Source organism: Homo sapiens, chromosome 4, assembly GCF_000001405.40.
Source record: "Homo sapiens chromosome 4, GRCh38.p14 Primary Assembly".
NCBI lineage: Eukaryota > Metazoa > Chordata > Mammalia > Primates > Hominidae > Homo > Homo sapiens.
The window spans coordinates 154807265-154824296 of record NC_000004.12 but is presented as its reverse complement, the minus strand read 5'-3'; the positions used below and the strand labels follow the sequence as shown (position 1 = coordinate 154824296).

Below are 17032 nucleotides of genomic sequence, written 5' to 3'. Positions count from 1 at the left end.
TTCTCTAGTATGACCATTTTATATTCACACCAGTAAGATATGAGACTTCGAGTTGCTCCACATTCTAACATTTGGTACTGCCAGCAATTTTAATCATACCCATTCCAACCTCTCATTTCAGCTCATGTAGCTCTGCATTCCCTTGTTTTATACGCTAAACTTTCACTTGAAGTAAAGGTTGTTTTGTGGAAAACAAAAAAAAAAAAGAGAACAACTGCTCTGACATAATGATTATAGAAAACCTGATCAAATGTTATCTTTAATTTCCTATTTATATATGGAATACACATATTTTCATAGAACAAATTTGATATATACAAAGAACAGCAAATAAGCTTAACCTTAAATGGCAATTCTAATTAAGCAGTAATGGCTAACAGGAATTCTAGATTCAGAAAGATTCTGGTGGTGTGTCTGGAATAAACAGGAAAGCGAGTGACAACTTATGCCACATCTGACACAGGAGCAAGAGTAGAGACTGGTAATACATATACCACATACTTGTCAGGCCTGTTTATGTGGTTACTATAATTTGGTCTACCACCTTTCTGTATTCAACACAAAGACAGTCTGTTAGTGAATAATACCAGTAGGTTTCTCAGTGAAAATGTGAACAGTGGATAGATATATTGCTTCAATGTATTTCTTGTTTTGTTTCTAATTCGTCTTACACATCTTGACCAAACACCACTAATTCTTAGCTGCTTTTCTGTCTTAAAGATGAGGAAAACCCTTAATAGAGACTTTAAAGTGAGATAAAAGTGTCTTCTCAAATTAATTTTGACTCCCTTTTTCTTTTGTTTCTGACTAGATACTCTTTAGACTAATTTTTCATTTAAAAAATATATTCCTCATAATTGGTTTCTTTCTTCTCTGTTAGCTATGTGAGTTCTACCACCATATCCATCCACTTTCTATCTTTAAGTGTGCAACTTAGTGATTTTTATCACATGTACAACTAGCACCACTATAAAATTCTAGAACATTTTCATCATCCTAAAAAGAAACTCTGTTATCTATTAGCAGTTACTCCCACTCTCTCTTCTCTCAGCCCCAGCAACTACTAGCCTTTGTATTTCTACAGACTTGCCTATTCTGGACTTTTTGTATAAATTTATGTGGTCTTTTGGAACTGACTTCATAACATAATGCTTTCAAGGCTCATACATGTTGTAGCATGTATCAGAACTTCATCCCTTTTAATGGCTGAATAATGTATCATCATATAGCTAGATTACACATTGTTTATCCATTCATCAGTTGATAGGTATTTGGGTTGTTTCAACCTTTTGGCTATTATTTATAATACTGCTAAGGAATAATATGTACAAATGTTTGTGTGAACATATGTTTTCAATTCTCTTTAGTAAGTAACTAGGAATGAAACTGCTGAGTCATACAGTAATTCCCAGTAAAACTTTTTGAGAAATTGCTCAACTGTTTTCCAAGGTAGCTAAGACTATACTATTTTACATTCCCACCAGTGTTAAGGATGAGACACCTGATTTTTTCATCTATGAAGTATGTTTATCAGACCTTTAATACATATTTTAAGCATTTCTTTAGATACCTATGAGATCTGTATTGAAATTTTTTTAAAAAAAATCCTCATTGTACCATTTTATTATTATTTCAATTTCTAACATTCAATAACCATAACTAACTATCTCAATAACTTACTTTCACTCAAACACTAAATTTTATCTGCAAAAAAAAACTTTTTTTTTTAAGCTATACTACTATACATTCCTAGAACATAAAATATGGCAGGGTTCAAACACAGAGATTAAAATATCATATAAGCATAAATAATACCTATCATATAAGCATAAATAATACCTATCATTTATTTTGTACTTTCTATTCTAGTATAGAAAATCAAGAGCTAAATAAGCAGAGGAAATAAAGAAATGAAATTTCTTTAAAATGAAATTTTAAATTATCTAAAGATTACGATTTAAACCTTCGAAAGCAAGGGGTTGAAATTCTAGAAAATGCAAACTAATCTAGAGTGGCTGCCTGAGAAAGAGAATGGAAGGAAGAATGGATTACAATGGGGCATCGGGCAACTTTTGGGGGTGAAAGAAATGTTTGTTTTCTTAATTGTGGTGTCATTTCATAGATGTAGACATAAATCAAAATGAACCAAATTGTACACTTTAAGTATGGGCATTTTGTTGTATTTTATTTATACCTCAATAAAGTCAGAAACATATTAAATAAAAACAAATAAAACTCAAGTGTGTCTTTGGGTTAGCTTCAGTATTTCCCAAACTACATCCCATACAATTAAAGTGCAAGAATTTCTTAAAACAAGCATCCTATAGCCAAATAATCTCAAGAAAAATTTAGAACAGATAGGCTTATACATTAAACAGGTTGCTACCTCAATTACCTAGGATGCTAGTATGCACTATGATTTTCCCAAGGAAGTATTTAGTATACAGTTTTTCCCAAACCTGTTTGACCTTAGAAGCAGTTATTTCACTGAATTTTGAATATCAGGGAAGAAATCTCAATGGAGTTAATACATAATGGGAAAACATTAAAAACAAAACAGAACAAAATCTTCAAATATATTAACCACAGCAATTAAAAACTCAAATGCCTTCACAGGCAAGGCAACACACAAACAAAAAGAACACAAAGAGGGTCAAGAATAAAAAAACAGATACTTATTTGTACTGAAAATAAGTCTAGTTGCTTTCCATTAAAAAAAGAAATACATCTAGATCTTCTAGTTTGCTACCTTTGTATTAAGAGATAATTATATCCAACTCCTTTTGGTGCTACTTTCTAAGCTATTTGGAAAGTTAGTACTAGAACAGCAGCTTATGAGAGAAAAAATTACAATCAGAGCTGCAGCAATCCAGGTAGGCTTCAGTATAGGTTAAAAAAAAAGTTGTAGCTCACTAAATAAACCATGTGGGCAAAAAAGAAAAGCCTTAGAAAATACAGCAATTCTTTTCAAGTTTTATTTCTATAAGTAAAATCAGTCCTTGTAATTCAAATTTTGAACTATAAAAAGTTGTAAGGACCTCTAAGACTGGTATCACTTATTTGAATTTTTATGCTAAGATTAAGATCTGTAAAAATAAAATTTTAAGTCTCAAGTATAACAAGCATTTCTCTTTGAGTCTGAGAACAGATTTTATTAATTGTAATGGCAATATTATTAAGTGATAAAAATAACCACACAAGATTAGTACAACTGAATCCACATAACAGACTTATAAGTACTATTATTATCCCCTTTGTCAATGAGGAAGTGAAGCACAAAAAGGTCAAATTAACTTACTCAAGGACACAGATGTAGTACATGAATTACATCCTAGAAAACATCATTCTTTTGCCTCTACATGTAAAAAAAGACTTTGTGAGGTAATAATCTTGACTCAAATAAGCTATCTTTTAACTTCCTACTAAAACTTATCTTCCTCAAGAAGTACCTTGTTGAATAAACTAAACACTAAATCTTAGTAAATACAACTTTTATCCCAAATTGTTTCAATAAGACTTGGGTTTAAGGTTGAAAAACAAGAGAGTCGTATTCTCAGATACTTTTGAGAAATACTTGGATAATCTATAAATAACACAGTAACTCCAAATATATCGAATTTATAATACTGTTTACCATCTTGGTGGTTCAAGGTATACTAGCATGTTAAATGTTTTGAGAAGACCTGAAAATACAGAAACCACTTTAACTTTTTAAAACATTTGCTTAATGAGTCTATAATTAACAAGGCTATTATAAAAAATACTTCATAAAGTTTCATTCTTTTCATTATAAAGAACAATTTGAAACTGGTTTTCTGACAATTAAATATATTACTTAATATTCCTAAGAGAGTTTTACCTAATAAACTCTTACCTGTTTATTTTCTCCAAATTCTTCTACACAGGTCCAGGCTGAAGAGATTGTGTTCCCTGTCTGTAAGCAGTGAAGACAGAAAATAATTGAGTCTTTAGATTGATGTTATCCCTATCTTGGAAGTGCATGGAATCCTTGGTAACTTTAGTTAAAAACCTTTTGATCAGTAAATAAAAAAACAAATTTAGAGAAAAAGAAGTAAGGGGCAAATAGTTATTTCTGGAGTTCTATAAAGATGAACAAAGAGAAGAGTATTTTGATATTTGAATGAAAATTATGATTAATACATTATCAGAAAAAAATTTATCTTTCTAAACAAATTATCGTTTATCTTTCTAAATATTACTACCCTGCTAAGATAAAGAAGAGACTCTAAAAACAAATGAGATCACCCAATTTCTGATAAGCAGAAAGCCAAAGAATCTAAGTAAATTTGGGAAATAGAAATGTTGTATAAGGTGTAGTTATTTTACATATGAAACACCATTTCCTTGCTGTCTTAAAAAAGATAGATGGCCAAAATAATACTAAACTTAAATCTTTCTTCCCAACAGCTAAATTTTATCTACTTGAAATCTAATTTAGTCATATATAGTACAACTGTGGGCATCCATCTATTTTAGTGGTTACCTCTTCATATGCCTTAAAGCTTTCTGTTATGGATGTATATCCAAATCTATGCTAAGAAATTGTGTATAAAAGTATAAACAAATGAAAAATTTCTGATAACCTATAGAAAACTAGATATAAAAATAACCATCTAAAGATTATAATTCAGTATAAAAATAATCACAATATCTTCTGTTTTTACATGATGAACTAGGTAACACTAATCAACCCTCTTGGTAAGAACTAGAAAATGTAAGAAATTATTAAAAACAAAAACATTTGTTTCAAATCACTGAGAACCAAGACAGTGACGAATTATGGGGCTGTGATCTCAGACAAGAAGAAAACCCAAACGTATGTGCACCTCTTTGGGAGGTGCATTTCCTCTGGAAGGCTTGGCCAATTCCCAAAAGCTCCCTCTTGGGAATTAACAGAAGGTGCCAAGAGACAAATGAAGCTAGGAAGACAAAAACTAGAACTAAAGAGCTACTAACAAGGAATGACTGGAACTGAGTAAAAATGGACCAGAAACAGACAAACTTTAACAGAGACTAAATTTAACTTCAATTCCTGCCTAGATTAAAGCAATCTGGGTTTGTCAGTCCTTTGGCCACCTTTCTGAAGCCAAAATAAATCTTCTATGAATAAATATAACATCGTGCTAGCCTTCAAATTGTCTCCACAATTTTTCATACACAGTATCTGGTATTGAATAAAAAATAACCAGTCATACAAGGAGGTAAAATTACTATCACCTAAAACCAACAGAAACAGCAGACAACAGTAACAGATCCACAGGGTATTTAGATCATTAAATTTCAGAACTGAGTATTGAAATAACAATGCCTAATACACTCAAGAAAATAAAAGACTAAAATTTTTGGAAGGAAGTAGAAATCACAAAAGAGACTCAAATTTAATTCTAGAACTGAGAAATGAATCTAAATGAATGGTTCTTAGGATAAACCTTTTAAATTTTTTACAGATAAAAAAATTACAAAACAGAAGACAGGTAAGAAAATATACAGACTGACATACAAAAGGATGGACAATACAGAAGAAATATAATCAATACACAGGTTACAGTAAAAAGGTTTAACATATGTGTAGCTGGATTACCATAAATAAGAGAGAAAATGAACAAATGCAGTATTTGAAAACACAATAACGCAGAACTTACTAATACATTAATCTAGACTTCAGAAGTGGTGAAAGTACCAAGCAAGATGAAAACTAAGAAGACTATACAAAAGTCAAATCCATAATAGTAAAACTTCTGAAAATCATAGATAAAAAGAAAATAGTAGAAGTAGCTGGGTACAGGGAATGATGGCACAATGTATGTTCAAAGGAGTAACAAGCTGATCAACAACAGATTTCCCAAGAGAAACAACAGAAGCTAAAGGACAGTGGAATCATAACTACTGCAAAGGGCTGAAGTAAAATAACTGCTGGCCTAGCAAAAATAACCTTTCAAATGGCAGGTGAACTAAGAATACATTCAGACAAATGAAAATAGAGATAATTTGTCATAAGCATATCCACACAAAAGAAAATATGAATCAGTATTCTTTAGGTAGAATAAATAAACAATTCTAGTGGAAGCTTAGAGATGGAAGAAACAGAGGGCAAAGGAAATGATAAATGTGTAAATCAATATCAATGTATATTAAGTATAAAAACGATTATAACTAGATGTTTTTATTATATTGGGCATTGTGGGGTTTTAAATGTATAAGGTTTAAATATATATATATAAGTACCAATGACACTACATAAATTGTAAAAGAAATGAAAGAAGTCAAAGTGTACTAAGTTCCTTGTATTATCTAGGATGTGATAAAATACTCATTAATATTAGACTTCAGTAAGTTAGGAATGCATGTTGGCATTTATAGAGTAAGGACTAAGAGATTAAAGACTGAATAACTAATACAGCTAAAGAAAAGAAAGTCAAAATAAACACTGTATAAAAAAAAGGCAAGAAATGAAAAAATAAAACAAGCAGAGAAAACAGAACGCAAATGGCAAAATGAGAGACTTAATCCCAAGCCTATCGGCAAGGACATTAAATGTATATTTAGAAATTAATACTGAAGATTCAAGAAGAAATCAAAACATAAAAAATATTTTTAAACAAATGATAATAAAAATAAAACATATCAAAATGTATGGAACACAAGGCCAGGCATGATGGATCACACCTGTAATCCCAGCACTTTGGGAGGCCAAGGCGGGCACATCACCTGAGGTCAGGAGTTTGAGACCAGCCTGGCCAACATGATGAAATCCCATCTCTACTAAAAATACAAAAATCAGCTGGGTGTGGTGTGCGCACCTGTAATCCCAGCTACTCGGGAGGCTGAGGCAAGAGAATTGCTTGAACCCAGGAGGCGGAGGTTGCAGTGAGCCGAGATCACGCCACTGCACTCCAGCCTGGGCGACAGTATGAGACTCAGCATCAAAAAAAAAAAAAAAAAAAGAAAGAGAAAAACCAAATGTATGGGATGCAGCTCTAACCATACTTAGGAGAGATATTTGTAACCTTAATAAAAGAGGGGCTAAAAACTCTAAGATGGCCTCTTAAATAATATTCCACATATTCAAAAACGATGTAACACCAATCTTATATAAATTCTTACAGAGAACAGTGAAATTTAAAACATTTCCCAACTATTTTTATGAGGAAAAGAATGAGTCAATCTCACTAATGAACACAGATGTAAAAATCCTAAAAAAAACAAATGAATTTTAGCAATATATAAAAAGTATAATGTATAATGTACCATGACCAAATTGAGTTTACTTCGGAAATAAGATTCATGTAACATTCAAATATCAATCAATGCAACTTATTGCATTAAAAGAATAAAAGACAAAAATGATGTAATTAACTAGATGCAAAAAAGTATTTGACAAAATTCATGACCCATTCATGATAAAAACTCATACAAAGCAGGAATAAAAGAGAGTATCTTAAGTGATAAACGACTTCTATAATAAAAGCTATAACACACATCATATCTTAGTGGAGAAATACTGAAAGTTTATAAGGATGGTTTTTATCATAATTTGTATTCAATGTTGAAAAAGTAGTTCTAGCCAGTGCAGTAAGGCAAGAGAAAAAAAAAAGATGTGTATAAAGGATGGAAAGGAAGAAAAAGCTCTTTACATTTAGTTGATAAAAGTGTATGCAGAAAAATTACTGTAGAGTCAAACTATTTGACACAAATAAGTAGTTTTACCCAATATATTAAAAAATAAATCGTTTTCACATAAAGCAGGAACAATTAGAAACTGAAATTAAGATAAGTTATTTTTTATGATGACATTATGAAAAACACTAGGTATAAGTCTGGAGAAAGATGTAGAAGATATTTAAACAGTAAACTACTGAGAGAGCAAATTTTTTAAAAGCCTAGGTAAATGAAGAGAGGTATCATGTTCATGGATCAGAAGACCCAATACTATAAAAATGTTATTGTTCCCAAACTGATCTACAGATTCAATTCCGTTCCAATCAAAATCCCATTAGGATTTTGGTCTTGGATATAAAGTTACAAACTGATTCTAAAATTCATATGGAAACTCAAGGGCTGAGAAAAGTCAAGATAATTGTGAAGAAGAAAAAATAAGTGAGAAAATATTATTTACAAAATATAAAGTTACAGAATTAAGACAATATGGTATTGGTGCAAAAACAAACAGATCAATGGAATAGAATGTTAATATCCAGAATAAGTCATATATGTGTGTGTATATTAGAAGGCAGTGTATATACACATACTTGATTTACATTAAGGTGGCACTGCAGAGTCATGGGAAAATGGCAAGTCTTCAAAAAATGGTGTTGGTTAAGTGAATATTCATATGAGCGGGGCGGACTCTGATACTTCGCATTGTCACTAAATTTAGGTATGATATGAAGTTTCTAAAAGATAATAAAGAAAATATTTCATGACCCTGTGGTGAGTAAAGGTTTTCTAAGCAGGATGCAAATGGCACAAGTAAGATTGATCAATTGAATCATATTAAAATTAAGAACTTCTATGTTTCAAAACATACCTGAATAAACAGGTAAGTCATAGAGTAGAACAAGATATTTTAAAAATATATTCAATAAAGGACTTCTATATTAAGTAATAAAATAAAAAACAGACAAACCAATAAAATGAAGGAGCAAGACTTGAACAAGAAAGATACTTCACCAATACAATAGCGTAATGCCCTATAATCCTCCTAAGATGATCAATATCGTAAGTTATCATCATATAAAAATTACAATCTCAGTAAGAAATATACACTAATCAGAATATCCAAAATGTAAAAGACTGATATCTAAGTGTTGGCAAGAATGTGAAACAACTGGAACTCCCATTTACTGCTAGTAAAGTGTAAATCAGTATACTTACTTTGGAAAATTATTTGGCCCTATTTACTACAGTTTAAAAAACATGACCCACCACTTTCACTCCTATATATTCAACAGGAATGTGTGCAAATGAGCACCAAAAACACTATGTTCAAGAATCTTTAGAGTGTCATTATTCAAACAGCCCCAAACTGATAGTTCTTTATATTTTCATCAACAAAGACAGCAAGTTATATACAACACTCCGATGAAATACAGGTATCAATGACAGCAAATGAACAGTACTGCTACCTGAAATAGTATGAATCAATCCACAAACATAATGTTAAAAGAAGCCAGACAAGATGACATAAAATGTTACATAAGTTTCAAAAATACATAGAATAAGTCAGAGGAGTGGCCTCCTTTGAGCAGGAAGGAAAGTAATGTCTGGGGAAAATACAAAAGAGTCTTTTGGAGTGTTGGTATTTTATGTCTTTACCTCGGTGGTGAGTTATACCGACATAGTCCCTCATGGTAATTTACTGAATTTACACTCATTATTTGTGCACTTTTCTGTTTGTATGTAATGTTATAGCTTAAGGAGTTTTAAAAAAAAGGGGGGGAGGGGATAAAAACCTGCCAGTGATATATATAAAGGAGAAGTTGATAATGTATAATTATGATAAAATATAAAATCACTTTATAGTTACTACCAAAATAGAGCATATGTGATTCAGACTAATTTAAAAACTATAATGATTTTCAATACAGATGCTACATAGAAATATTATTAAATACAGAACAATTCTTGTCTTCATAATGGCCTTCACTATCTACCACCTGGAGTTTTAGAATTAGCTTTGTTAATCTTTGGTTTGAATGAAATCAAATTTAACAGGAAAAATGCTGGGATTTAAATTACCAATGTATAAGAATTAAATTTCTGTCGGCATATAGAAGAGATGGTGATCATTCTCACAACAAAAGCAAAAACTTAGCAGCAGAGTCTCAATTTCCTGTCAAATGCAAGGTTGCTACTTACTGGTACTTTCACCCAATTTAATTTACCATCTTATTTGTGTCATTCCTTTTTAAAAAGCAACAACTGTTAATGAATATATTCTGAGAAATTATTTCAAAAGTGATTATTTAGTAGGCAAGACAATAAGAAAGAGACTAGGGGAAAGAAAAGGCATGTCAAAAAGTGGAGAATAAGAATAGGATAAATTAAACTTCAGAGACCAGAGTCAGGATCTTTACCACCTCTCTGTAAAATGGGTATCATTAAATGTTTTATATTTAGTTTTCTATAAGTTATGCAGGAATAAGGGCCAAAATAAGGGAAAACTAAGTAAAAATCTAAGTAGGCTCCTAATTTTCATTATTTTCAACAAAACATAACATTGTAGATAGATGACTTGTTCTACAAAGATGTGATGAAGTTTAAAATGTCACTGAAACTAATTACAAAAGCATATTCTATATCTTTGAAGATTTTACTGGTCTTTAGTTTGACAGAAAATTCCATATAAATTTTAAAGTAAATGATATGAAAGATAAAAATTATTTTCAGACTCTCAGATATGTCATACTATTTCTTCTTTTGAAGACAGAAAATAACTGAGTGCACAGGATTCCGGTGTATTCCAAATAAGCCTGCTATATTAGCACCTGGAATTTTCAAGCTTTCTTCCTATTTTTAGGAAACTAAACTGAAAGGAACACCACCATCTTCTCAGTCTACACCTGTGTAGAAGAATATAAAAGTATAATGCTAGTAATAAACTAAGATTAGAAATAACATACAATAAGCGACTGACATTTCCTATTTGTGAAGCCTTGATCAAACGTTATAGATTATGCTAGATATAACTGTGGATTACATAATGAATTTTAAAAGAAATTTAAAAATTGCACATAAATCATTATATTCTATACTGTATTTGGTTGATATAAACACAAAGGTTTTCTCAGAGGGTTTAAAAATAACAATTACAACCTTAATCTCCTATTCCACTATACAAATTTATATACATATATATAATATACACATATCCAATATAAAATCATCCATATGCCCCTGTCTATATTTCAGGGGTTTCTACTATTTTGAAACCTCCAACATTAGCATGTTAAAAATTATATACTGGTAATTTTTACTTTGGTGACATATACACAGATATTTCAGCCCATTAACCACCATTCATAATTTAACCATGCCTGTGTTTATACCTGTCAACTTCCTATCTCATATATTTCTTTCCCAATCCTTTCTTCTTTCTGCTCAAAGCACAGCCGAAATGTATCTTTCCTTGTAATCTTTATCTTTTAACTTTATAGCATGTAGATTGCTTTAAATTATTTGGAAAGCACCATATGCTGAGTACTAAAGGAGACAGTACTCACCCATATAATGCAGGGAATAACAACAAATCATACAGTCCACTGGCTTTATATACACTGATGGAAGAAAAATTTTGAGTAAATAAAAAATATAAAAATTATTGAGTAATATCATAAAGAAAAAGTCATTTTGGGTTACTATGTCCAATAACAGCTTAATATAAAAGTATATAAGGATAAGCAGAATATTCTAAGCACAGTGCACAGCAATGGGAAAGGCCTAGACCTACCAATGAGCATGGCAAATTCAGATGATCACAGCAGGAAATGTATGGCTACGGTTAGGTTAAGTGGGGCCAAACAGTACAGCATTCTGAACAGGAGAATGTGGAGTTCAGAGTATTTGATTATACTACAATAGCAAGCCATGATAGGTTCCTAAGGAAGTAACAATGAAAAAGCATAAACCTATTCGGACTGATAAATTATATGGCTAAACTATGTATTGGGATGTTTTGAATATAATCAGAGTAAAATGAGTACCAAGTAACAGGGGACCAGGAAATAGATACAAACAAACTTTGCCTGTTTGATGTTCTGTCTAGAATCTGGATGGGGGAAAGACATATATCATCTGCCACCTTGACACATGCCATTCATTGGCTGGCAATGCTGATCCTAGGGTAAATTTAAAAATCATGAAGCTACCTTGTAAACAAGATATGTTTACAAGATTTTTCTAACTCAGGATAACTCAGAATTCAACCAGATGTCTCAGGTCAACATTACAATGGAGTGGGGTCTGGTACATGGGCCTGTAGGTTTCCTAAAGCCAAAATAGTCTCTGGAAAAAAGGTAAGGCAGGACTGAAAGCCCATCTCATTGTATTTTAACTTACAGAAACATAATTTGCCAATAATATTTCACAAGTCCACTGTCTGTTACCAAATGTTTAATATTAGACAAAAACCAGTTTTTCATTGGAATCATGTGAATTTACAAAGGATGGCAGTTAAGAGCACAGCCTCTTATGCTAACTAGGATCTTGGGCAAATTATTTAACATACTGAAGCCTGTTTGTTAAAAAAAAAAAAAAAAAGTAAAGAAGTGTCAACATTAAAATCCTATCTACAACAGGCCAGGCGTGCTCATTCATGCCTGTAATCCTAGCACTTTGGGAGGAAGAGGCAGGCAGATCACTTGAGGTCAGGAATTAGTGACCAGCCTGGCCAACACAGGGAAACCCCGTCTCTACTAAAAATATGAAAATTAGCCAGGCATTGTAGTACATGCCTGTAATCCCAGCTACTCGGGAGGCTGAGGCAGGAGAATCACTTGAACCCGGGAGGCGGATGTTGCAATGAGCCAAGATCGCACCACTGCACTCCAGCCTGGGTGACACAGCGAAACTCTGTCACACACACACACACACACACACACACACACAGACACACACACACACACATATCCTATCTACCACAAGGAACTGTGAGACTAATACATCATATAAAGGCATTTAGCACAAAATCTAACATGTAGTCTTAACTATTATTATTTCTAATATTTATATTACATATGATTGGAAACTGGTATCTTGGATTTGTTTTCTGAATAATTATTCTTCACTATTTACATGGTACTTAGTATATATAAAAGGGAATGTTCTGGGCCCTTTATAATTTTAACTCATTTAATACATGTAATTACCCTATGAGATACTGTTATCATCATTCCTATTTTACAAATGATGAAACTGAAGGACAGAGAAGTTAAGTAACTTTCCCAAGTAAGTAATGAAGCTAGAATGTGAACCCAGGAAATCTGGCTCGAAATGCCATACTCTTTTTTCCTGTGTTGCCTATATGCTATGCCATAGTACTTAATTTCCTTTTCCTGAAATTCTTTCTAAAGTGCAATGTACCATTTCCTGACCCCAATACCAGTTTAGGTCAGGTCATCCAATTGTATGTTCTCATAACACCCCGTACTACTTCAGAGCATTTATCAGAACTCTAACTGAATATTGGTCTCAATAGAATGTAAGGTCTATGAAAGCAGCAACTGTGTCTAATTCACTACAGTGATCCTCATAACTTTACACAAAACAGCCTTAGGTAAGTATTTGTTGAAGGAACACATTTTAACAAGATTTAACAATCAGCCATCTGCCAGTTAATAAACTAAACATGAGAAGCCTAAAGGAATGAATAGTAAGCAAAAGGGATATTCTTACGAGAATAAAAATTCCCAAATCAAACTTTCTTAATCAGTTTGCAAAAAGTAAATTAAAAAGTAAATTTCTCAGAGGGCTTGAAAATGGCAAGGCCATTATATTCCAAGTGGTATTAGGGAACATAATTCTGAGTTACAATAGTCTAGTAAAGACTCTTTCCTTCCCCCATATATTTCATGGATTTAAAATAAATGTTAAAAAATTATTTTTGTTTGTTGTTTTGTACTGAGAGAATTTTTAGCAGCTGAAAGGCTTAGATAGTTCTGACTTATATTAAGCCATAATCTACCTCCTTAAAACTTTGCTCTTTTAGACTTAAGTCCACTTCCTAGAGCTCCAAAGATAAAGACTAAAGTCTTTTTTCCACGTGCGAGCACTTCAAACATTTGAAAACTGCAATCACATTTCCTCTGTATTAGTATTTACACACTAAACAGCTCCAAATATTTCAGTTGTTCACTGTCCTATTACATATTATGGCGTTTCCAAGCTCACCCAAGTTGTCAAGGTTGAATTAAATTGTGGTGCCCAAAAGCAACCAAAACATTCCAAATATAGTCTGAGTATAATAAAATTATTTAGCCTTGATACTATGTAACTTTCCTATTTTACCTTGAGTTATATTAATTTGAGACTCTCTAGAGTAGAAAGACTCTTATTCCAATTTTGACAAAATAACACAAGTTCTCACCCTTGGCTGGCTTTCATTTTTTCCCAATTTAATAATGAAATATAGAAACAGAGAAATATATACAATATAGATGTGTATGCCTTACATAATTAAAAAAATGAAAACATGTACTCACCACCCAGGTTTAGAAATAGGAAATTACCAGTACCTCAGAAGTCCCTTTGAATCCTTTCCAATTTCTCCCTCCAAGTAGTAACTTTTAAATGTTAGTAATTCCCTGGCATTTTTATGGTTTTACCTCATAATCATCTATCCCTAAACAACCTATTGTTTGGTTTTGCTTGGCTTTATTTTCCTAATCATAATTTCCAATTGTCTCAATTTCTCCAATTTAAAATCTGAATCCTTTTGTATTTTACATATTTTTAAGGAGCCACCTCAAATCTTTTGTGGAATGAGGCAGGAATGAAAGTGAACAACCTACCCTTACCAGTAAAAACCATGAAGAAAAAACAGAGGGCAGACTAATGTAATACTTAGGTAAGTGCACTGCATCAGTATGAAACAATGTCATCTCTGCAGGTTAAGAAATTGAGTGGAGGAGAAACTGAACATCTTTCCAACTTTTCCTAAGCTGGGTTTTGTATTGAATTTGTGTAAATTTCTAGAATCAATATACTATATATTTAAAGAGCATTCTAGGATAAACAAGTAAGCTAACTATATTCAGATTATTTCCTTTCCATTTTTCATGCCTCCTATCTAAATACTTGGGAGTTGATTATACAAGTTTTTGTCATAGAAAACTCATTATAAATAATTTCAGAATAAAAAAACTAAAATTAAAAATCATTACAGAAAAATTCTGATTAAATCTAAAGGCAATGAAATCATTCTCCAATATATCAATTCAAATGAGAGCATCTGATATCATCAAGCTGCTTTCCAAGGCCTCAGAGGATTGATGAAAACCCTGTCCATCCTTCTCCCAAGCCACATTAGCTAATGTAGCAACACCCTGCCTGGAGCATAAATCACAATAAAAAAATACATAAATAAGAAAATAAAATGTAAAGATATAAAAAAATCAATAAAAGTGAGTTTTAGAACACTAGTATATTAGTGAGAAATAGAAGAGTCACACATACATATATGTATTTCAATACAATAACTTAAAAATCTTAAATCTACTAAGTAAAATAGGGAAAATATTAAGAAATAGAGAAAATCATTACTATCTCATTTGTAAATCCCTCTCCGAAACTAAGTGAGTGCCTTCACAGTGAAAGCAATCATATTTTTGCTTAGTATTGCCTCTTTCCCTTTAATTCTTAAGTGAAAAGAAATAATGTTTCAATGTTCTGGTATAATCACTATTTCTATACTTGATACACACACCTAAGTTCACACCAAGGAATCCCTTAAGGGATTCTTATTCTCTCAAGGAAACACATGTACACACATATATACAGGTGAAATGCCTTTAAATTAACAAGCATTTCACTGCTTGAATTATTTATAGTGCAGAACAGAATCTTAACCTGTTTTCCAAAGATTGATAATGGCTCACCTGGAACCTTATAACTTCTGTGCCCCAAATTATCCAATACTTTCATAAATTCGTAACTACAGATTTGGTCACCCTTGGACCAAAAATTAACTGGGCAGCAGCAGGAAAAAAAAAGCCGTCCACATACATGGCACATATGCTGCAAATTTTGTGGATATTCATTTACCCCATAATCTGGCCAGTAAACAAGCAGACTGGAACTATGTATTGTTGAAACAAAGTTAACAAGAAAAAAATTAAGTAAATGGGCTTCGGTCTTACAAAAATCCATATACAAAACAGGATTAAAGAAAAGTACAAAGAAAAAAAGTAACTCTAATAAAAACATCCTTAGACTATATAATGGAAGGACAATCAAATTGCACAAAAGAAAAAGTAAAGCATAGGTCAACAAAGATTTATCTACTCTATAAAAAGGTGGAGTTTTATATCATGGTTTACATTTTATTTAAATAAGTGCCAATCCCTTGAATTTGTGTACAGAAATCAAGGTATACTGTTTAAACACACAAGAATAGTAACAAAGTACAAAAACCAAATTATCAGGCAATACAACTGTTTAAGAGATTGATGTTTTCTGATGATTGTACTCTTATATACTTTTTAATCCAAAGTTATAAACATAATTATAGTAGAGCTGATAATATTATTAGTGTAGTACAAAGATTATATTTACTGAATCAAAGCAATGTATAGGCAAACTAAATTTATTTAGTTACCCAAATTATTTTCTTAAAATATGAACTATTGTGTACATAAAATTTCATATGCAGGCCATTCTTATAGCTCAAATGTTACTTGCTATATATGAGACAAATAAGGACCCGCATGTCATTAATACATCTCTAACCAAATACTGTCACTTAAGGAGCATGAAAATCCAAGGAGTTATTAATATTCTGGTGATTTAAAGTTTCTAATTATTTGGGGATACTAAGGTTTTTAATTATTGTCCTTCTGTTTTGAAGCTTCACAGGAAAGTGAACCATTCTTGGAGGTAAGGTACTACCAGGTCTTGGAAAGAGGAAGAAATGCTCTGGGATTGATGATATATCAGATATTAACTAGTAAGGGCAGATACTATGTTTGATTTTACCTAAAAGGCCTGGAAGAAACACTGAATTTTAAAGTAGTTAAAAGCATAAAATAAATTCGCCATAGTGAAACCATCATTCTACATCTTCTGTCTCCTTATTCATGAGTCCATTCACTTAATTACACTGCTACAGCATAAAAAATTGTCTACTAAATATTAAACAGGAAGCAGAGATAAGGGCATGATAGGCTGAAGAAGACTAAGTAGAGCATTTCACAGAGATTTTTCTGATTCTAAAAAAAAAAGAAAGGTAAGACAAAGAGGAGCTACAAATCAACGTAACATTAAATTTCCTTTTAAAGCCACATTAAAAATACGTATT

The 17032-nt window shown here is 31.8% G+C and overlaps 1 protein-coding gene across 9 annotated transcripts in view; it reads right to left on the bottom strand.

The window, feature by feature from the left end:
* RBM46 (RNA binding motif protein 46) overlaps positions 1–17032 on the bottom strand; it is a 47542-nt gene that overhangs the window by 4517 nt on the left and 25993 nt on the right. Inside the window, exon 5 of one of the 9 annotated variants that reach the window (NM_001277171.2) lies at positions 3875–3934. The exons of the other annotated variants lie outside the window; for them this stretch is intronic. Coding sequence (NP_001264100.1) covers positions 3879–3934 — 56 coding nt within the window. The 3' untranslated portion in view covers positions 3875–3878. The remainder of the gene's footprint in view (positions 1–3874; positions 3935–17032) is intronic. 9 annotated transcript variants of the gene reach the window in all.